The sequence below is a fragment of the Homo sapiens genome, chromosome 11 (genome assembly GCF_000001405.40).
Source record: "Homo sapiens chromosome 11, GRCh38.p14 Primary Assembly".
NCBI classification, from domain to species: domain Eukaryota; kingdom Metazoa; phylum Chordata; class Mammalia; order Primates; family Hominidae; genus Homo; species Homo sapiens.
The window spans coordinates 93,861,259-93,885,332 of record NC_000011.10 but is presented as its reverse complement, the minus strand read 5'-3'; the positions used below and the strand labels follow the sequence as shown (position 1 = coordinate 93,885,332).

The window sequence follows — 24,074 nt, the reverse complement described above, 5'->3', positions numbered from 1 at the left end:
ATGCAGCATTCATCTTTCTGTTCTTGGCTTATGGAAATGGAGATATTAATAGTAACTTACCTCATAAAATTTTTGTAAGGTTACATGGTATAATAAATGTAAAGCACTCAGAAGAGTGCCTAGCATTTAGTAGGCCCTTAAAAGGTATTAGCTATTATTTGTAATATTATTTGAGGAAAGACATAGAATGAGGTTTAGAACAATTGATGTTGCAAGCAAGTTTTTTTTAAGTATTATTATTGAAGGATGAGGAGAGACTGGAGAGAGTTATTAGACTACTCTAAAAGCCTATATTTGGGTTAGCAGAATCCAGACTTGGGATGGGGATGACAGATCCCACATTTGCCACATCCCTTAACCTTGGCAGATATAACGATTCAATTACCGCACTTTTCTCATAGAGCCCATATATAGCCTCACAATCCCATTCATCACTCCAAGCTTCCATTACTACTTAGTTTGAGTTAAGGTAAGGGATGGGCTTCTTCACGTCCCTGTTCTAGGGCAGTGGTTCTCAGCCCTGGTACACATTTGAACTGAGGCTGGAGAATAGGTCTGGAGGCAGGGAACATAAGGCCAATTCACACTGACTTCCTAGAACTAAATCAAATGGAAACACTTCAGCTACTACCGAAAATATCCTCTTCATTTACATAGGGCATACACCGAGTAAATGACTTTGTAACTTTACTTCGTCATCTTCATTTACATAGGGCATATACACCAAGAGACCAATGGAAACCTCTAGAAGGTATTTAAACCCCAGAAAATTCTGTAATGGAGCCCTTGAGCCCCAATGCTCAGGCCTGTACACCTATGGGGTGTACTTTTGTTTTCAATAAATCTCAGCTTTTGTTGCTTCATTCTTTTCTTGTTTTGTTTGTGCATTTTGTCCAATTCTTTGTTCAAGAAACCAAGAACCTGGACACCTTCAACTGGTAACAGAACCACCTGGGTCGTGGGATAGGCAAATTCCCACAATGTTCTCTGGCATCCCTACCTCTTAGCAGCCACACTTTTGTGTGAGCCTCTCCATGTCTTTTTTTTTTTTTGGAGAGATAAGGTCTCACTGTGTGGCACAGGCTGGTCTCTTAACTCCTGGATTCAAACGATCCTCCTGCCTCCACCTCCTAAAGTGCTGGGATTACAGGCATAAGCCTCCATACCCAGCCAGCCCCTTCATTTAGAGTATGGGCTGGACCTAGTGGCTTGCTTCTAATGAATATGCCAAAAGTAATAAATATCATTTTCATAAATGACTTATAAAAGATCATAGCTTCCATCTTGCTAGCAGACTCTCTTGCTGACTTATGAGGCAAGCTTCCAGGTTGAAGAGGCCCCTGGTGCAAAGGACTGAAGGTGATTTATCAGCCAACAGTAAACAGTCAACGAGGAACAGATATCCTCAAGTGAACAGCCTGTGGGGACCTGTATCCTGCCAACAGCCACTGAGTGAGCTTGGATGCAGATCCTGCCCTGTGGAACCTAGACTGCAGCCATGTGAGAGCCCGTGAGCCAACACCTTAACTACAACTTTGTGAGAAATCCTGAAGCAAGGGACCTAGTAAGTTGCATCTGGATTCCTAAACCACAGAAAATGTGAGATTATAAACATGTGTTGGGGTAATTTGTTACATGGAAATAGATGATTAAAACAAGTAAAAAGGAAGGGCTTAAAAAAAAACTGATGCAAACTAATTAAATCAGAATCTCTAAGGATGGGACCTAATCATTTGTATTTTAAAAATCTCCCCAGCTGATCTTAATATAAATCCAAAGTCCAGAGCCACTGACCGGACTTCTCAAACTTCCAGTGAATGAGAATCACCTAAGGATTTTGTCAAAATGCAGATCTAGGCTGGGACCCAAAGTTTTGTATTTCTAACAAGCTCTCAAGTTATGCTGATGCTCAAGGTCCCTAGAGTACACCAGGAAGCAAGGATCTAGAGACTAGACAAAAGACAAGGTAGGTCTGAGCTAGGTGTATGGCTCTGGAAATGGTGAGAATCAGGAGTAAGTGACTTATTTAAAGGAATAAGCCTCAGGTCTTGAATCATTTATGTGTCAAGGGCTAGGGTGAGGCATGCATGACAGCTGCCTTGAGGTTTTAAGTCCAAAGAACAGGGAGGAAGTAAGCATTTGTAGCTGAGATGAGGATTAAAAGAGAAGTTTGGGAAGAAAAGTAATAAATGCTCAGAGGAAAAGTAATACATGCTGGAAGTAACCTATTAAGGATGATCAGGACATAAATTGTGGTGCCCAATACAAAATAAAAATGCAAGTCCCCTTGCTAAAAAATTATTGAGAATTTCAAGATGGCAATGACAGAACATTAGTTCAAGCATGTGAGGCCCTCTGAGCATGAAACTTGTGCTATTGCTCAGGCCATACTGACATGTAGTCAGCCATGGGACAGATCAGTCAAAATCAAGACTTACCTACTCCAGGAAAATATTTTTCATCCCTGTCACACCCTCTCCCTACCCTCTGCCCTGGAGATGCCATGCTGTGTGCCTGGGACTCTCTCACATATTATTCTATAACTGAGGTCTGGCCTGGTTAGCTGCTGTACCTTGCCAGTGAGACTGGAAGCTGCCAGAGGGCCAAAGGAGTGATTCTTTTGCTTTTTCCCCCGACCTGTCTCAGAGAAGATAGGGTGCGGCTTATACTAGTTCCCCCAAGGTCAGCATGCTGGGAGCAAAGCCAGCCCATTTTTCCTTCATTCTAGCTCCACCCTGGATCCAAAGGCCTCTCCCCAATTGGCCACCAGGTAACAGGCTATAAACAGAGTTCACAGCCTGTAGCTCTAAGAATATCCTCAAATAGTTATTTTTAGCAGAGTGCTGTGTGGTTCAAATTGGAAAATATAACTGCCCAATGAGTTCACGTTGTCCACTGCCTAGAAAGAGCCAATTTATCAAAACAGGGGAACTGCAATAGAGAAAGAGTAATTCACCCAGAGCCAGCTGTGTGGGAGGTGGGAGTTTTATTATTACTCAAATCAGTTTCCCTGAGCATTTGGGGATTAGAGTTTTTAAGGATAATTTGGGGGGTGGGGAAAGGCCAGTGAGTCAAGAGTGCTGATTGATGGGGTCAGAGATTAAATCATAGGAAGTTGAAGCTCTCTTTTTGTGCTGAGTTAGTTCCTGGTTGGGGGCCATAAAATCAGATGAGCCAGTTTATGGATCTGGGTGGTGCCAACTGATCCATCAAGTGCAGGGTCTGCAAAATATCTCAACTACTGATCCTAGAAGCAGTTTAGGGAGGATAAGAATCTTGTAGCCTCCAGCTGCAAGACTCCTAAACTATAATTTCTAATCTTATGGCTAATTTGTTAATCCTACAAAGGCAGTCTAGTCCCCAGGTAAGAAGGAGTTTGTTTTGGGAAAGTGCTGTTATTGTCTTTGTTTTAAACTATAAACTAAATTCTTCCCGAAGTTAGTTTAGCCTACTCCAAGGAATAAACAAAGACAGCTTGGAGGTTAGAAGCAAGAAGGAGTTGGGTAGGTCAGATCTCTTTCACTGTCTCAGTTATAATTTTGCAATGGGGATTTCAAAAATAGCTGATCCATCCCTTAGGGCTGGTACCTGTCCCACACTGATACCTTTGATATTTACTGGTCCCCTGTGGTTCTTGGTGAATTGCAAAGCTAGGCTGACCACTCTCAGGATTAGACCTCACTCTCAGGCCAGACCCAATAATGGGCTTGGGAGACCCTTTCTGGGACATGAGTATGAACAACTGTTCACAACCAATTTACCAAAAAAAATAAAGTCAAACTGATTTATTTGACAAACATACCACACTTCCCCATGCTTATAATCATGTCTCAAACCCAAGAAATTAAAATGTCAAGATGATGAAAATAATACTATATCACACAATCTACAAAATTCTACTGAATTTTACTTGCTACAACCTTTCATATATGATCCCAAAAGTGTAGGTAAATGGTGAGATGTTTGGCATCTCACTCTATGACTTTGTACCTAAGAAAAAAAACAATATTTATTGTGAAGGTAGCATGTGTTGGATACTGTGCTACGCACTTCATATACTATCTCATTTAATAGCATAGAGAAGCAGAATAACAGAATGATGGGGAGAAGAGTTTTATAAGCTAAACAGCCTGGGCTCAAGTGAAGCTCTGCCACTTACTAACTCTGTGCCTCAGCTTTGCAATTTATAAAATAGATAGAATGAAAATAATGGCACTTTTTTGGCCAGGCACAGTGGCTCATGCCTATAATCCCAGCACTTTGGGAGGCTGACGTGGGCAGATCACTTAAGACTAGGAGTTCGAGACCAGCCTGGCCAACATGGCAAAACCCTATCTCAACTGAAAATACAAAAATTAGCCAGGTGTGGTGGGATGTGCCTGTAATCCCAGCTACCTGGGAGGCTGAGGCGCAAGAATCTCGAGTCCAGCAGGCAGAGGTTGCAGCGGGCTGAGGTCATGCCACTGCACTCCAGCTGGGGCAACACAGTGAAATCCTGTCTTAAAAAATTAAAAGGCCAGGTGTGGTGGCTCATGCGTGTAATCCCAGCATTTTGGGAGGCAGAGGCAGGTGGACCACTTGTGGTCAGGAGTTCAAGACCAGCCTGGCAATATGGTGAAACCCCATCTCTATTAAAAATACAAAAACTAGCTGGGTGCAGTGGCCCATGTCTGTAATCTCAACTACTCAGGAGACTGAGGCAGGAGAATTGCATGGCCCAGGAGACAGAGGTTGCAGTGAGCCAAGATCATGCCACTGCACTCCAGCCTGGGCAACAGAGCGTGACTCAGTCTCAAAAAAAAAAAAAAAAGAAAGAAAGAAAAATAAATCACAGTACTTTATTCATGGGGTTGATTAACTGATTAAAGGACTAAATGAGTCATTACAGGTAAGGCAGATAGGACAGCATTGGCTTTCTAGTGTCAGAAATTCACCTTTATCTTCACAACAACCTGGTGAGATTAGTATGATAATACTCAATTTAAAGATTAAGTAACCATAGTTCAGCGAGGTGAAGCAATTTGCTCAGGGTCACAAAGCCGATAATGCCATAGCTAGTATATGAATTCAGGAATGCTTCAAGTATAGCCCAGGAATGAAATTCCCGGAATTAGTTCACACATGAGCTCCTATCATGCACAGGCACTGCAGATAAAGTGAAGAACAAGAAAATGAGATCCTGTTGGCTTAGTTGGGGAAAAAAAGAAAGTCAAATATAAACAAATAGATGAATAAAGTAATTTCAGATAGTAAATAAACAAATAGATGAATAAAGTAATTTCAGATAGTAATAATGCAGTGAAGATGATAAAACAGACTGATGTCAATAAGCAAAAACTAAAATTAACACAAATGTTCATTAAAGATGAATGAATACACTGACTCTACTATATCCATAAAATGGAATAGCAAGGAATACAATATTGATACACACAACATAGTGGATGAATCTCAAAATCATGATGGCAGGAGAAAACCAGACACAAAAACTAAATGCTGTGTGATTCTATGTATATACTGTCACGTGCATCCATGTGAAGAGACAACCAACAGGCTTTGTGTGAGCAACAAGGCTGTTTATTTCACCTGGGTGCAGGTGGGCTGCGTCCGAAAAAGGAGTCAGCAAAGGGTGGTGGGATAATCATTAGTTCTTATAGGTTTGGGATAGGCATACAAAGGACATTCTCAAGCGTGGGGAGAATATTACAAAGTACCTTCTTGAGTGTGGGGGGGAATATTACAAAGTACCTTCTTAAGGGCAAGGAAGAATACTACAAAGTACCTTCTTAAGCGTGGGGGAGAATATATCGTATCAGTTAGGGTGGGGCAGGAACAAATCACAATCATGGAATGTCATCAGTTAAGGCTATTTTCACTTCTTTTGTGGATTTTCAGTTGCTTCAGGCCATCTGGATGTATATGTGCAGATCACAGGGGATATGATGGCTTAGCTTGGGCTCAGAGGCCTGACAATAACATTCCAGAAAATGCAAATGAATCTCTTAACATAAAACAATTCAGTGGTTGCCTAGGGCTGAGGGCAGAGGAAAGAATAGACTGCACAGAGTAAACTTTTGGGGTTGATGGAAATGTTCTGTGAAAGAAAAATAAATCTTCAGGCCCCCAAATCACTAAAGGGAAAAGTCAAGCTGGGAACTGCTTAGGGCAAACCTGCCTCCCATTCTATTCAAAGTCACCCTTCTGCTCACTGAGATAAATGTGTATCTTACTGCCTCCTTTGGAGAGGCTAATCAGAAACTCAAAAGAATGTAGCCATTTGTGTCATTTGTATCACACCTGTAATACCTATGACCTGGAAGCCCCTCCCACTTTGAGTTGTCCTGCTTTTGCTTCAAGCTGTTCCATCTTTTCTGGACTGAACCTACGTTCATTTCACATATGTTGATTGATGTCTCATGTCTCCCTAAAATGTATAAAACCAAGCTGTGCTCTGACCACCTTGGACACATGTCATCAGGACCTCTTGAGGCTGTGTCACAGGTGTGCATCCTCAACCTTGGAAAAATAAACTGAGACCTGTCTCAGATTTTCAGGGCTCACATTCCAGTAACCACAGAGGGATTCTGAGTGGAGATGCCCCTGACTTTTGACAAATCTCTTATCAGTGCTTAGTACCAGCATGAGCTAACTTTATGGTCAAACCAATAGCACAATTTGCTGAGGTCTGGGAGCACCCCCTCCAGAAAGGACCTGATCTCCCAAAATTTGGTCAAGATCTAAAGTTTGTTTTGCTATACAACTCCCTTTTTTGGGAGTTTTATTTGCTTCCAACAAGGAAGGCAAGTTTTCCTGCTTCAATGATGAGGGAAGGCAGGTAACTCCTTTATGCAGTTTGAGCTGGCTTCCAAAAGGGAAGATAGGTTTTTTTTCCTGCTTCTAGGATGGTGGAGAGCAGTCTTCAGCCTGAGACCCATCCCTAAGTAAGTAGCTGAATTGGGGTTTTGTCTTGGCTAAAGTTAACAACCAGCTGGTTTTAATTTCTCCTTACCATAAGAGTACTCAGTAATCATATAAGTTTTGTGATTGTTTGTTTTCCTTAACAGTTTTGTTGTTGTTGTATGTTTCTGATTTTGTGGTTCTTTTAATCTTTTTCCCATTGGGTTTTACCAACACTATCTGACTCACTCAAGTCCAAAGGAAAGTTGCAAATTATGGGGAACGAGTCCTCTGAAATGGTTAAATTTCCCCCAACACATACCAAAAAAGGTGGTGTGGTGGGGAAGAAAAATGGCCAAAAAAAGAAAAAAAAAGAGGAAAGATTTATTATTTTGATTTTGACTACTAAAGGGATTTTATTTATATAACAAGGCCAACATTTTGTGAGCCACGCTAAACTGAAAGCAATGGCTGTTGCCCCACACTGCAGGTCAGTTCAATAGCTAAGGTTCTGCATTATTTTTTCCACCATGACAGGTTGGGTTTGGTTCCTAAATCAAGACCTTTCTGGTTTGATACTTGGTACTTCTGAAATAGTGCCTATTTGTCCTAGCTGAAATATGGTAATAAGATTTTAGAAGATTTTTTTAAGGAGCTCAGTGGTTAAAGTCAGTTTAACAAAAAGCTAACATCCAAGATGTGTGTGTGTGTGTGTGTGTGTGTGTGTGTGTGTGTGTGTGTGTTTGTATTTAAAAGATCATGTTTTTGTTTTTGTTTTCTCTCTCCTAGGACCTTGTCTTTTTTTGAGCAAAAGTTATTTTCTTCTCGGTTGACTGAATTCTATTTTCTTCATTTACTTCTGCTGTCTCTCCTTTCTCTTGCAACTTCTGCTGCACGAAGGACCTAAACTTGTTTATAATAACCTGGGGTTTCTTAAAGAAAATGGAGAAGATGCCAGACTCCCTTTAGGGGAGAAACCTGTTTTTCTTTATGGAACCCCAAGAGTATAAACAGACAAGTTCATCTCAGCTTTTAAACTGCTTCCTTTTGGCCTGATTTATTGACTAAAATCATTATTGCAACACAAGATATTCTTGGTTTTTGTTTGTTTTTTGGTTTTTTGACAGTCTCAATCTGTCAGCCAGGCTGGAGTGGAGTGACCTGATCTTGGCTTACTGCAACCTCTGTCTCCTTGGTTCAAGTGATTCTCCTGCCTCAGCCTCCTGAGTAGCTGTGATTACAGGCACCCACCACCATGCCTGGCTAATTTTTGTATTTTTAGTAGAGATGGGTTTCATCATGTTGGCCAGGGTGGCCTCGAACTCTTAACCTTAAATGATCTGCCTGCCTTGGCCTCCCAAAGTGCTGGGATTACAGGCATAAGCCACCATGCCTGGCCAATATTCTTGGGCTTTTAAAGAAGAGTATAGTTTAGACACTTAGAAATGTCTTTGTTTTTAAAAAAAAAAAATTTTAAGTGCACTATAAAAACATCATGTGGTCTGATCTCATAATAATTCTTCCTTTTTGGAAACCCAGGATTCAGTATGGGCTCTCCCCAGAGCTCAGAGATCCAGTTAAAAGATAAGAAGTCCCTATCTAAATAAAACTGGTCTCCTTATACAATCCTCTGACAGATTTTCATAATTTTATGTTTGATTTGGCATCCATCTTTACTCTCCCACTAGCATACCAGAGTTTTCTTCTCCATACCTTATGATGTAAATTTTGCTACTTGATTTTCACCACAGTTGTTTCCTTTAATATGCAAATATAAGGCTATTTAGCTGACACCTGCCTAGGGTTATAAAATAGGTTATCAAGAATCTGAAAGTCTAAGATAGGGGAAAAAAGGGAGGGTTTTATGAACCTATAAGATGTACTTCTATCAGCATGCCTAATATGTGTATATATTTATGTGTGGTGCACACAATGTTCCACCACTGAAAATATATAAAAGAGCTCTAATTAGTTGGCTTAAAGAAAAATAAAAGTGCTTAAATCAAATACTTTATCAGAAAAAAAAGACAAGTCAAATGCTTTTTCAAGTTTACATGACTTAAGTAAAATCTTTAATAAATAAGCTAGCTTTAAAATTATTCTTGAAATAATAACAGAAACATCTTAAGAATTGTCAGCATACATTTTGGTTTGCATTTATTGATCAAGCAATTTTATATTTATCCTGGCCAAATAATACAAGGTGTCAAAATTTGGCATAGGGGTTACAAAACTATAAACCCAGCCCAAAACACAATGTTCTTCACTTGTATAATTTTTAATAAATAAGATATTGATATTAGTTTAATGAAAATAGCTACACCTAGAATTTAGAAACATTACCATAACTTCTAAGCCTGTTGTTTTAGGTGGTCTAGTCCACAGGCAGTAAGGAAGTTTGCTTTGGGAAAGGACAGCTACCATTTTTGTTTCAAAATTAAACTATAAACGAAGTTCCTTCCAAAGTTAGTTTGACCTGTGCCCAGGAATGAACAAGAACAGCTTGGAGGTTAGAAGCAAGATGGAGTCAGTTAGGGCAGATCTTCTTCACTGTCTCAGTTATAATTTTGCAATTAAAGTTTCATAAATTTAAATGATGACTATTGCAGTTTTCATTAATAATCCAGGTAAGTGATTAAAATAATTAGGTAAATGTAATGAGATAAATACTTGTAAACAAACTCATAATTTAGAAACTAACATTATATAAAATAGTAGAAATTTCATTATTTGAGTATTTACCGATAAAAATATATCCGTAGGAAAACATTCTTTCTTAAAAAAAAAAGTGTGTCCTTTTAAAAAGGTGAACAATTTTTGTCTAATTCAAAGCTTATTTAAAGGTCATGTATAAAACAAGGTAAAAGGAACCAGGAAATAAGAGAGATGTAAAGAAAGTTGTAGAAATAAAGAGGGCTTTTTGGTTTTTGTTTTTTGTTTGTTTGTTTTTAGTAAGAAAGCTTAAAGGGAAGTAATTTCATATGAGAAAGAATCTTGTATGGTAAATTTAGTCCTAGAGTGGAATGACTGGTTGTTTAAGACAAAGGGATATTCAGGACAAACCAGAAAGTCCAAGCATTTCATGAATTGTCTATGTAATTCACAATAAGAGAATTTAGATTTATTAAACAAATAAACAAAAACTTTTATATCAAAAACTTTTAGATCAAGTTGTCTATAATTAAAGAAAAATTATAATGGTCTTTCTAGAGACTGATCTCTATGTAAAGAGAAAATATTTTTTTAATTAAGGTTACAACATCTCTGTATCTTTCTGTACATGCTTTTAAAGTCCTTGTGACATTGAGTTACAGGTCTTTGACTCCTGGGTCTTAAAAGAACACCAAGCCGGGCGCTGTGGCTCATGCCTGTAATCCCAGCACTTTGGGAGGCTGAGGCAGGTGGATCATGAGGTCAGGAGATCGAGACCATCCTGGCTAACATGGTGAAACCCCATCTGTACTAAAAATACAAAAAATTAGCCAGGCGTGGTGGCAGGCGCCTGTAGTCCCAGCTACTCAGGAGGCTGAGGCAGGGGAATGGCATGAACCTGGGAGGCGGAGGTTGCAGTGAGCTGAGATCGTGCCACTGCACTCCAGCCTGGGTGACAGAGCGAGACTGTCTCAAAAAAAAAAAAAAAAAAAAAAAAAGAACACCAAATCTTAAACACAGACAGCAATTAAAGCCTCATCTTCAGTCCCAATAGAAGACACCAATAAAAATAAACTACATTCCAGGGACACAGGGCCAGAAATTAAAGCTATTTGACTCAAGGCCTGGGGACTATCATGGAAGAGATGTACTCATGAGATTGTAAGGGCTGATTTTGAATGATAAAATAAGATACGTTTCTCTATAAATTAATCATTAATGTCAAAGGCACACTGCTATTAAGACCAGCATATGGGCCCCTAGGTCAGATTAACAAGGTTTTCTTGAAGCATTAACTGATTCCTTAATAAATGTTATAAAAGTCTTTCAAGTTGTATCTTATGGTCAAGATTAAACTTTTATAGACTTTATAAAATTTTGAAAAATTAATTGGCATCCTGCTGTTTTTATTAGGGCTTATTATTTGGAAAATTAAGCCTCCTCTCTCAAAGAATGAAGGTATTTTCCCTATTTTTTGAAATCCTTGAGTTATCACTTTGGTTAAATGAATGATCCTATTTTGTGATATCAAGTGTTTTAAACCTTTGATATTTGACAAACTTTTCAAGATCAAATTATAAATGATGTCTTTTTCTGACCTAATTAATCTTTTAATATATTAGTCTCCCTAAAGTCCAAAAATGACATAGTTTGGCTTATTTAGTATAAAAATTTTACGGAAAACATGGTGAAATATGAAATGGTGTTTGGTTCTCTTTGGGCTGTATTTGTTTAAATATGTTATTGGTATGTGTTACAAGATTATGGGAAACTCCCATAATTCTGATATGACTTAGGGTATAATTGTTATGTTAAATTATTGTGTGCCACACACGTAGCAAATTTCCTTGTCAATTGTGTCTTTGACTATGGCTGCCCTAAAACTTTTTGTCATCCACAGACAATTGCTGTCTTGTTTTTGACCTCTTTAGAAGGTGGTTTTATAGTCAGCTACAAGACTCTAACAGGTACTCTTAAATGCAAGTTTCTGATAATTTTGGAGATTGTGACATCAGAGTAGAGGAAAACTTTCAGGATTCATGGAGACCTGAAAGGTTGATGAATATCAAGCATAACAGGAATTAACTGCATGGACCAAACTAATAGAAGTCTGAAGTAATTTTTTAACTTTTTGCTTAAAACATTGCTGATCCTTTGTTTTGCTTTTCAGAGTCAAGAAAACTTTTCTTTTAAGCTATTTACAGATTTTAACAATTGAGTAAAGTATATTCCTATGAACAAAATTTGGAGCATGTTTGCTTTCTCTCTACCTGATTTCTAGATAATTTGGAAACTATTTGTGAGTATCTCAACTTATGACAATACAGTTATTTGCATAAGTGTAATAAGACTCTGTATTCATTTATAACAGTACACAATTGGAGAAACTGGTTATTTTACCAATGCTTTGACTGGAATGGTGTGTTTTCCTTTAAGAAATTAAACCTGACTTGTGGAGCCAATAAAAACCCCTGGGAAAACGGGCCTCATACTGGTCTACACAGTCCCCGTACAGGGTTCTGACCTGTGGTAAGTAAGGAATGTCACTTTCTGACAGGCCTAGGAGACCCACATTTTATCTTGGAACTTCAAGAGGAGAGGCTCACCCAACTGATAGGTATTTGATGGTACAAATCCATGGCTGGGCTCAGCTTTAAAAAAGTCTTATCTGAGATTCCTTCTACAGAACAAAGTTCCATCAAAGCAAATTTAAAAGCCTATGTAAAAAATAATTATCCTTGCTGTACTATATACAAATAATCAGGCCAACTATAATAAAGCAAACCAGCCCTACCATGATTTGCCTTTAGTAAAAATGGGAAACTGGAGAGAGAAAAATTGTGTTTCAGAAACTATAGTATACCTGTTGTTAGATTCTATTCTTTCCTAATGTTTTTCTATTTTTATTATTTTCTACAATTTGGACTGAATTCTAATTTTTCTTGGCTACAAGTCTTCAAAATAATGTTTTCAATTTTTTTCTTCTTTTTTTCGCCGCATTTCCAAATTTGGAGTCACTGAAAACTAAGCTGTGCTTTCTTAAAGTCCTGAGAACTGAAGCTAGACAACTTAAATTTCAGAAGAAAATAACAACAACCTGTTTACATACATAAGCCACTTTCATACCCACCTACTGATGTATGGACTTCAGAGTAATGTAGTCTATATGGTTTCTCCAGGATTTTTTTTGTTTTTGTTTGTTGTTGTTTTTCTCCTCTCCTCCCCCATTGTCTCTTCACAGGACATGAGACTTCACAACCTGCTAATGATGAACTTTCCTAATAATTCGGAACCCACCCATCTAGAAATAAACCATCCTAGCTATGAGAGATCAGACAAAACCTGAGACCAAAGACTCATTTTCTTCTAAAATCCTGTCTCCAAAATATTTTTTAAAAGAAAAGGGAGGAAATGTGAAAGGAAAATATCTTGGGGCCCCCAAATCACTAAGCTAAAGGGAAAAATCAAGCTGGGAACTGCTTAGGGCAGACCTGCCTCTCACTTTATTCAAAGTCACCTATCTGATCACTGAGATAAATGCATCTTTGCTTGCCTCCTTTGGAGAAGCTAATCAGGAACCCAGAAGAATGCAACCATTTGTCTCTTATCTACCTATGACATGGAAGTGCCTTCCTCACTTTCAGTTGTCTTGCTTTCCAGACTGAACCAATGTTCATCTTACACATGCTGACTGATGTCTCATGTCTCCCTAAAATGTATAAAACTAAACTGTGCTCTTACCACTTTGGACAAGTTACCAGGACCTCCTGAGGCTGTGTCATGGGTGCACACCCTCAACCTTGGCAAAATAAACTTTCTAAATTAACTGAGACCTGTCTCAGATTTGGGGGATTCACAAGGTTTACTCTCTTTGTATCCTCTCTACTTGATAATGAAGAGGCTGGGGAGCACATTCATTAAGACTCTGGGTCTGTCTTACTCTGGCTTTGAAGTCAGACAGACCCAGGAAAAACCTAGGTCTTCCACTTGCTAGTTGTGTGACCTTTGGCAAGCTATTAACATTTCTTTAGCAGCAGTTCCCTTATCTGCATAATGGGATTCTAATATTACCAGTTAATAGCACCTTTGTAAGGGTTAGATAAGACACAGGTGTGAAGTGGGATGGTTGTATGGTAAACCCTTGATCCACCTCAGTTATCTCAATATCCAGCTCAGTGCCTGTCATAATAGGTGCTTGGTAACCATTGAATAAATTTCCCTAGTATTATTCATGCTTTTTAGTCTTAGCCTCTAAAACTGCATAATTCTCAAGAGCAGAAACCATATCTTTTACATCTTTTATGGGCTGTCTCTTCTTGTGTTATATAAAAGGTTATATAGAAGGTGCTCAATAAATGCATAGTGGGTGCACTGTGGGGGAATCCAAAGTTTGAACCTAAATTTTGATCATAGTTTTTCCATTATGGACAGGTTTTCTGTCTTTAGGTCTGTTTCTTTATTGGCAAAAATTAGAGATAGGTATTGGATATGTGGTCTGGGGACAATGTCATATGCCTACCTGAGAATATGGTCAGCAAGAGATTTCTCAGTCAAACATAAAAATGAGAAAGACAGTTTTCCTGATTTATCTGGCACTGTGAGCTAGTTGGGCATCAGGGCCTGGCATTACCATCAGGTCCCTGGATGAGCTGGGAATTTCATGCACAAGATGGGAATTGAGCTGTTCAAGACTAATTTCAATAAAAGTTAACAAAAAAGTTATGAAGGAGTACTGCCCAAGAGAAATAGGGTTGATAAAATCTTGTAAGTCACATTCAAAAACTGTAATTTATCACTGTACTCAAGAAAAATTAATATGGCCCATGTGCTGTGCAAAAATTTCTGATGCTGTGGACCATGACTGGAAACATTGGTATAAAAGCTCTCTGCTCCAACAGGGAAGAGTATTTTATCACTGACACTGTCTAGCACTGCCAGTGCACGGCGATGATAACAGCTTTTAGGGGTGTCTATTCTTGATGTTAAGTCCTCCTTAGGCATTGTACCTCCTCATTGACTGTATCAGGGGCCAGATGCTTCCTGCCCATTGTTCTCCATGGATTGAAAATATTTGAGTGTTCTTGGGCTAGAACTGTTTTGTTTCTTACAACTTGAACATTCTTTTCATCATTTAGTTCTCAGCACAAATTTCATCCTGTTCGAGAGGATTAAAGTAGCCCTGTCCCACTCACATTAACAGTTGTCATCCCAGGTTTTAAAGTCAACTTTACTGAAGTTTCATTTATGTGAAGTGAGCTGCACCCATTTAGAGTGTACAATTTGATGAGTTTCGTTATATACATTGTCAACCTGGAATAATCAAAAGGGTCAGAATCCAGTTTTATTAAAGTGTTTATTCAAGCAAAAAGCTGGGAATAGCCATTCTGGGATGCAGAAATTCCAGAGAAATGGGTCAGTGCTCCAAAGCTAAAAGCCAAATTCTTGCTCATATAGGCAGAAAGCAAATAAATTTAACAAGATTATAGCATTTTCTACACAAGGCTCGTTTATGAGTTATAATCAATTGTTTTCTGTATAGCTGGTTTTCATTTCCTTTCTGAAAGGTTCTCCCTGGGTCCTGAAAGTCTGGGGGATGAATAATTCCTCCCTCCTCAGGCCCAGTCCCAATGCACAAGGCCACTTGCACCAGCAGCGTGCATCAGAAAGATAGCAGAAGCAGGAAGAGAGATGGCCAGAAGGCATGGATCCCCTGGAGATCAAGAGAGAGAGGCTGTCCGGGTACCACGTAGCAGTTACATCAGACTAGGACACTTCCTGTTTACAGGAGAATATAAAACGCCTGCCTCATCCTCACTTGGGGCTGACACCATTTTAGGCCTCAGCCCATCTGCACCCAGGTGCTCATTAAAACAGCGTGTTGCTCCACAATGCCTTGTGTTGTTTGTTGGCATGTTCTCGGGGTTCGAACCAATACAAGAGCTTTGCATCTGTTGCCAAAACCTGGGACGGGCTCCAGTCCACATCCCCTGTGGACCTACTCCTCCACCCTGGAGAGCAGGCCACAGCAGTTGGACAAAGGAAGGTCCTCAGCCTCCAGTCGCCTCTCTGTGCACGCACATCGGTCACTGATATTGCCTACTGGTAAGTATCCTGCGAGCCTGGTTAACAGAAACCTGCATAGCCTCTCTTGGTTTCTCCAGTACAAAAATCCAACGTTGGTCCAAGAAGGTTCCAGCATGTGCCAGGCACTTGCTGATAATCTGGTCTTAGGGGGACACCTCCAAGCCATTTGATCCCATTCTGGGAACAAAAAAGGCAGCGGTGATGACTGCTCCTTTTATCATCTCCCTCTGGCCATCCAGGACAGTCTCCTTTTCCCTGTTCTCCCAAGCCTACCCTCCGTTATGGGAAATTCCCTGTCTTCCATTCCAAAGGACAGCCTGCTAGGCTGTATCATAAAAAAACCCTGCAAACCTTAGGCCTCAGGCAAGGTATCCACCCTAAGCATCTTGTCTTTTTTTTGCAATTCAGTCTGGCCACAGTACGAATTGGATAATGGGTCCAAATGGCCCGCAAATGGAACATTCGACTTTACAGTTTTAACTGACTTAAGCAATTATTGCCAACGACTGGAAAAATGGGGAGAAATTCCTTATGTCCAGGCCTTTTTCGCACTCAGATCACAACCAAACCTCTGCAATTCTTGCTCACCTGTTCAAATCCTGCTCCTCCATTCTCACCACCCTGATTGCCTTCTCCTCCTGACCCTACCCCTTTTTCCTTGTTCGATCCAGCAGACTGCTGTCCACCCCTCCCAGCCCCTACCTCTCCCTCTCAACCATCTTCTTTAACCCCCCAAGCCTTCTCTTTGTCTTCCCAGCTGACATCTTCCCAGCCGCCATCTTCCCAGCTGCCATCTTATCAGTCACCACCTTCCCAGCCATCATCTTCCCAGCCAGCACCCCCTCCAGGAGTATGCACTTCTCTTCCTACACCATCCTCTCCTCAGAACAATTCTAGCACTGCCTGTACCCATTCTCCTCCCCCACCACCCTCTCCTGAGGCCTATAAACGCATCCCACCACCTTATGCCCCTATCTATCCTCCACTGCCTATTAACTCAACCCCCCTTCCCCTTCAAACCCTCAACAGGAACCACTTCCAGGTTCTTCCTTTTCTCCCACCCACACTCGCTCAGGTGCCATCTTTGGCCCATGCCCCACCCTTACTTCAGCACATGTGCTAGAGTGCCCCCTTCAGGAAGTAGCAGGAACTGAAGGTATTATTAGAGTTCATGTTCCATTCTCCCTCACTGATCTCTCTCAAATTAACAAAAGACTCAGTTCATTTCCAGAAGACCCTACCTCTTATATTAGAGTTTCAGTACCTCACCCACTCTTATGAACTAATTTGGCATGACCTCTACATTATCCTCTCTTCCACCCTCACCCCAGAAGACCAGGACTGTATCTGGACCCTAGCTCAGGTGCATGCTGATAAAATTCATCACCAGGCTCCTACCCAGCCTACTGGCATAGAGGCAGTCTGCAACCAGGACCCCCATTGGGATTATCAAGATGGGGCCCCTGGGCACCACCATCGAGACAACATGACTGTGTGTCTCCTTGCAGGACTCAAAAAGGGTGCCCATAAAGCGGTAAACTATGAAAAACTTTCAGAAATCACCTACGGTCCTGATGAAAGCCCAGCCCTTTTCCTCTCTTGTTTAACTGAAGCCATGAGAAAACATACCAACCTAGACCCAGCCAGCCCAGAAGGAACCACTATTTTAAACCTTCGGTTCATCTCTCAATCCACCCCTGATATCCAGCACAAGCTTCAGAAGCTTGACGACGGCCCTCAAACCCCACAATAAGACCTTCTTAATTTAGCCTTCAAAGTCTTTAACAATCGTGATGAGGAAGATAAAAGGCAAAAACAGGCAGAATTTCAAATGCTGGCCTCTGCAATCATGGCCCTGCACACCCACAGGGCCACAGCTCCACATGGACGCCTCCTAGTAATCCACCTCCACCTGGCACCTGTTTCAAGTATGGCAATGAAGGCCACTGGTCCAGACAATGCCCAAACACAGGTAAGCACATCAGGCCATGCCCCTTCTGTGGAGGACCCCACTGGAAGTCAGACTGTGAGTGGCCTCTGGAAGGACTACCCCCATCCCTTCCTGAGCCAGCCAAAACCTCCTACTTGGATCTCATTGGCCTTGCCACTGAATACTGATGATGCCCTGGATTGGACACCCTGGCAACTACTATCTCTTCATCTGAGCCAAGGGTAACCCTGATGGTGGCAAGTAGGCCAGTATGTTTTTTAATTGATACCGAGGCAAGCTACTCTGCTTTACCTAATTTTCAGGACCCACCTAGTCCTCCCAAGTCTCTGTTGTGGGAATTGATAGACAAGTCTCCAAACCCTGAGCCACCCCTCCACTCTTCTGCTCCCTTTACACCTTTTCCTTCACTCATTCTTTCTTAGTCCTGCTCTCATGCCCAACTCTGCTCCTAGGCAGAGACATCCTTTCAAAACTCCACACTACTCTCCATGTCCATGTTCCCCATGGTACCAACACCTCCACCCAGACCCCTCCAGTGCTTCTAGCTTTCTTCTACTCCTCCAACCTCCCACCCTAAAACATGCAGCCTTTCCTAATCCCCCATCCATAGTTAACCCTGCTGTTTTGGATACTTCCACACCCTCAGTCATGAAACACCACACCCCTGTCCACATTACCCTTAAAAACCCCACCCAGTTCCTATCACAGAAGCAGTATCCAATCCCCCAAGCAACTCTTATAGGCCTAAAGCCTATCATTTCTTGCCTCCTCACCAGTCACCTACTCCATCCAACAAACTCCTCTTTTAACACACCATTTCTACCTGTTAAGCCAGATGGAACTTGTTGCTTAGTCTAGGACCTCAGGCTCATTAACCAAGCTGTACTCCCAGTATGTCCAGTAGTTCCTAACCCATACACTTTACTTTCTGCAATTCCCTCCAATACCACCCATTTTTCTGTCCTAGACCTAAAGGATGCTTTTTTCACTATTCCTTTGCACCCTGATTCTCAAGACCTCTTTGCCTTTACATGGGAAGACCCCAACACTCACCTTTCACATCAGCTCACCTGGTGTGTAATACCTCAAGGTTTTAGAGACAACCCCACCTTTTTGGACATGCCCTTGCTTGTGACCTCTGTACCTTATCCCTAAAACCATCCATTCTCCTTCGCTATGTTGATGATCTGCTCCTGTGTAGCCCCTCTCAAAAAGACTGGAATGCCCATACTATCTCTCTTTTAAACTTCCTGACAGAGCAGAGGCATCAGATCTCCCCTTAAAAAGCAAAAATATGCACCCCCTCAGTCACCTACCTAGGCCTAGCCCTTACCCTGCAAACCCGAGGGCTCACAACCGACCACATATCCCTCCTCCAGTCCCTCCCACCTCCACAAACTAAGCAAGAAATTCTCTCTTTTCTAGGACTAGTGGGACATTTTAGGCTCTGGGTTCCCTCCTTCGCTCTACTTGCCAAACCTTTATACCAAGCTGCTAAAGGCCCTCTCCATGAGCCTTTAAAACCAGCACAGCCTATTACCCAACCTTTCTGTCTACTCCAAAAGGCTCTCATCTCAGCCCCCATCCTCACCCTCCCAGACCTCACCAAAACTTTCTCCCTGTGTACCGACAAATGGCATGGAGTTGCACTAGGTGTTCTAACCCAGTCCAAAGGACCCACCCTCCAGGTTATTGCCTACCTCTCCAAACAGCTTGAAACCACAGTTCTCAGATGGCCTGCCTGCCTCCAAGTGCTGGTGGCAGCTGCTGTCTTCACCCTTGAAAGCCTAAAACTATCTCTTCATGCCAACCTAACAGTTTATTCAACCCATAACATCAAAGACATGCTAGCTCACCACAGTGTACTAAGTCTCATCTCTGCCTCACTGCTCCTCCAACTGTATGCTTTATTCATAGAAACTCCCCAAATCACCATGCTAACCAGCTCCTGTTTAAACCCAGCCATGCTCTTACTTGAAGCTATTACCTCCCAAGACCCTGCACACTTCTATGTAGACACTGTTCAAACCTTTCTTATACCTTTTCCAAACCTAAAAGACTAACCCCTTCCAAATGCCTCATTTACTTGGTTTGTAGATGGCAGCTCCTTCCTACATCAAGGACGCTGACATGCTGGCTATGCTATAGTGTCACCCCACACACACACTATTGAAGCCAATCCGCTCCCCCTAGGAACCACCTCCCAAAAAGCTGAACTCATCACCCTCACTTGAGCACTCACTCTAGCAGCCGGACAACAAATTAACATATATTCAGATTCTCGTTATGCGTTCCACATAGTGCACTCACACTCATCCATCTGGAAAGAACAGGGTTTCGTAACTGCAAAAAACACCCCTGTCATAAATGGCTCTCTCATCAGCAAGTTCCTTCAAGCTGCCAGACTGCCACAGAAAGTTGCCATCATTCATTGCAGGGGCCACCAAGCCCCAGACAATCCTATATCGGCTGGAAATGCTCTAGCAGATCAGGTAGCCAAACAAGTAGCCCTGCAACCTGTGCAAGGCCAGTTTCCGTCCCTGTCTTTGTTCTCTCCTCTTTACTCCTCAGAAGAAAAGGAGGACTTCAAGCCCAAAACCTTCAAAAGCAAGGACCATGGTATGTCAAGGAAGGGTGCTTCGTTCTTCCTCATTCTCAAACAATCCCTATCCTCCAAAGCTTTCACAACTCTTTCCATGTCGATTACAAACCTCTCTTGCAACTTCTCCACCCATTTTCACTTGTCCTCACCTTTCCAGCCATGTTCGAGAAATTACCCAATCCTGCTCTATCTGCCACTCAATGTCACCCCAGGGTTCCCTCCAGCCACCGCCTCTTCCTACCCACCAAGCCCAAGGCCAGGTACCTGGGCAAGATTGGCAAGTAGACTTCACTCACATGCCACCCGATAAATAGCTCCCCTATCTTCTAGTTTTTGTCTGAGAGGGTAGTCTCCGGGTGGGTAGAAGTGTTCCCAACAACTTCAGAAGCTGCAAATGTCATCACACAAACTCTCATCATGTATATAATTCCCCATTTTGGACTCCCAACATCCATCCAGTCTGATAACAGGCCTGCGTTTAACAGCCAAATTACCCAAGGCATCTCTACATCCTTGGGAATAAAATGGGTTTTCCACACACCCTACAAGCCTCAATCTTCAGGCAAAGTTGAAAAAGTCAGCTCTGTCCTTAAAGCCCAACTCACCAAGCTGGCTCTAGTAACCCACCAGTCATGGACAAAAAATCTCCCTTTTGCCGTCATGAGACTCTGCGCAACAACAAAGGCACCCTCTTTTTATAGTCACTTTGAAATGGTGTACGGATGAACTTTTGTCTTAGGGCCTCCACCCTTACCAGATTCTGAGCCACTCAGGAATTACCTCCCATCCTTAATCCAGACACGGTCTTTCATTCGTGAAGCAGCAAATGAGGCCATGCCTCTCCCTATTGACACCTCCTTGTCCTCTCAACTGTCTTGCAGGCACAGATGTGTTTATCTGCCAACCTGACCCCACAAAAAACTACAACCGAAGTGGACAGGCCCCTACACTGTGCTACTCAGCATGCCAACTGCAGTGAGAGTCCAAGGACTCCCCGACTGGATCCATCGCACCAGGGTCAAACTCACCCCCAAGGCTACTTCTTCCTCTGAAACATTAACAGCTAAGTGTTTGTCTAGGCCAATTTCTTCTACCAAGCTTAAATTAACCAAAAAAAATTTTTCTTAGAACCAAAACACAGGGAAGACTAACCACCTGCTTTTAGAAATGGCCTGTATCTACCCAACTGCCTGCTGTACCTCACTTACAACCAAAAGTCTTAATACAGGAATATCCCTCACCACAATGCTAATATTGTCAGTAGCTGCCCTGCTGTCCACAGCAGCCCCTCTGAGCTGCCGTGAGTGTTATCAGTCTTTCCACTACAGAAGAAAAATGCAACAGTCCTTTATTTACCATACTCGTATAGAAAAATCCTGTTATGGAACCTTAATCGAGGAATGTGTTGAATCAGGGAAAAGTTATTATAAAGTAAAAAATCTAGGAGTATCTGGCAGCTGTGATGGGGCTATATGTCCAAAAGGTAAGCAGTGGCTTTGCTTCACCAAAATTGGACAAAAATGGGGAGTAAACAATCAAGTGCTAGAGGACATAAAGAGAACAGATTACAGCCAAAGCAAAAGCCAAAACCAACAACTCCTTCCCCCCAAATCACCCATGGTATTTCCCTTCCCAAGCCAGGAAAAAACCTGTTTGTAGATCTAGGAGAATGCATCGTGCTTACCATGAATGTGTTCAATTGCTGGGTATGTGGGGGAGCTCATATGAGTTAACAGTGGCCGTGGTATGGGATAGACTTTCCCCCTTACTTACTAACATCCCAAAACCCCAGCCTCACTTTCACTCCTCAGGAACGCCCGCAGTCCTGGACATTTACCAACCCAGTAAGAAGGACAGTGTGCATATCCCACAAGCGGACTGATGAAACCCATCGCACCACAGGTGAAAGCCCCTGTCACCAAACCCTAACAGTCAATGCCTCCACAGCAGAGTGGTGGCCAACGTTACCCCACAGAGCCTGGTCTTCTTCTAACTTAAGCTACCTCGATTGTGTCTTGTCCAAAAAGGCCTGGTACTGTACAAACACCACTAACCCTTATGCCACATACCCCCACCTAAGTGCACTATGGGACAATCCTATGAACACTAGCCTACAATGGATTGCCCCTGATGGATTCTTTTGGATGTGTGGAACCCAGGCTTACTCATGACTACCTTATCACTGGCAAAGTACTTGTTTCCTATGCACAATTAAACCTGGATTCTTTTTACTTCCAAAGCAGGTGGGCAACACCCTTGGAGTCCATGTATATGATAACCTAAACAGAGAAAAATGATCCTTAAAGGTAGAAGGAAGCCAAAGATGGCAAGAGGACAAATGGCTTCCACAATGGATCATTGAATATTACAGCCCTGCCACTTGGGCTGAGGATGGTTCATGGGGTTATTGCACTCCTATATATATGCTAAATAGAATAATTAGACTATAGGCTGTTCTAGAGATAATCACTAACCAAACCGCCTCAGCTCTGGAAATGCTCGCGCAACAACAAAACCAAATGCATGTGGCAATTTATCAAAACATGCTAGCACTAGACTACTTATTAGCAGAAGAGGGTGGGGTCTGTGGTAAGTTTAATATCTCTAATTGTTGTCTTAACACAGACAATAACAAAAAAGCAGTTCTAGAGATCACTTCAAACATCAGAAAAGTAAGCCATGTACCAGTCCAAATCTGGAAGGGATGAGACCCAACGAACCTTCTAGGGCGTGGCTCTCTAATTGAGGAGGATTTAAAACTCTGGTAGGGACAGGAATCTTCACCATTGGGTTTCTCCTGTTTCTCTGCTGTATTATCCCACTGATGACAAAAGCCATTAAAACTCTTGTTGAAACTACAGTTAACCACCAGACAATACAGACGATGCTCCTGCTACAAATGACACGATGGATACCAACCCGTCTCTCAAGAATACCCCAAAAATTATATTTTTCTTTTTTTCGAGGTGCCATTGAGAAAGTCATCCCTTTTCCCTTTTCTATAACCAAACACACAGGAAGGAAAGATTCTCCTGGGGGCCTGAAAGCTTGGGAGGCTGAATAACTCCTCCCTCCTCAGGCCTAGTCCCAAGTGGCCTTGTGCCTGCAGCGTGTGTCAGCAAGATAGCAGAAGCAGGAAGAGAGCTGGCTGGAAGACACGTTCCCTCTGGAGATCAAGAGAGAGAGGCCATCTGGGTACCACATAGCAGTTACATCAGATTGGGACACTTCCTGTTTACAGGAGACTATAAAACCCCTGCCCCATCCTCACTTTGGGGGCTGATGCCATTTTAGGCCTCAGCCTGTCTGCACCCGGGTGCTCATTAAAACAGCATGTTGCTCCACACCGCCTTGTGTTTGTTGGCGTGTTCTCTGGGTTTGAACCAATATAAGAGCCTTGCACTTTCCAATGAAAAAAAGCACATTTCACATTCCATCTTTTCCCCCAAGTTTTAATGAATGATTTTGCGGGTGTGCCTCTTTTTTTAACTTTTATTTTAGATTAAGGAGTTACATGTGCAGGTTTGTTACAAAAGTATATTGCATGATGCCTAGATTTGAAGTATAATTGATTGAACCCATCACCCAGGAGTTGAATAACATTCCATTTTAAGGCAATGTGACAATCATGAAATATTTGTGTGAAAGGTAAGAGAGAGGTTAATCTATAATAAAAGTCAACAGTGGAGAGGGAAGGGGTCTTCCCTGGTGCCCTTTAGCCATTTGCAGCATTTTACAAAATAATGCAGGTAAGGAAAAAGATTCTGTATAGTCAGAGATACTAAGGTTTACAACTTTCTAGGTTATAGCTGCCTGTCATGTGACTCAGGCCCTGAAATTCACATTCCTTTAAGGCTCAAAATAGTTTAGAATTCCAACAGCTTAGAT

General features: G+C 41.8%; 1 pseudogene; it reads left to right on the top strand.

Moving 5' to 3' along the window:
* LOC101060084 (uncharacterized) overlaps window positions 1-21,337 on the top strand; it is a 103,851-nt pseudogene extending 82,514 nt beyond the window's left edge.
* The last annotated feature ends 2,737 nt before the right edge of the window (window positions 21,338-24,074 follow it).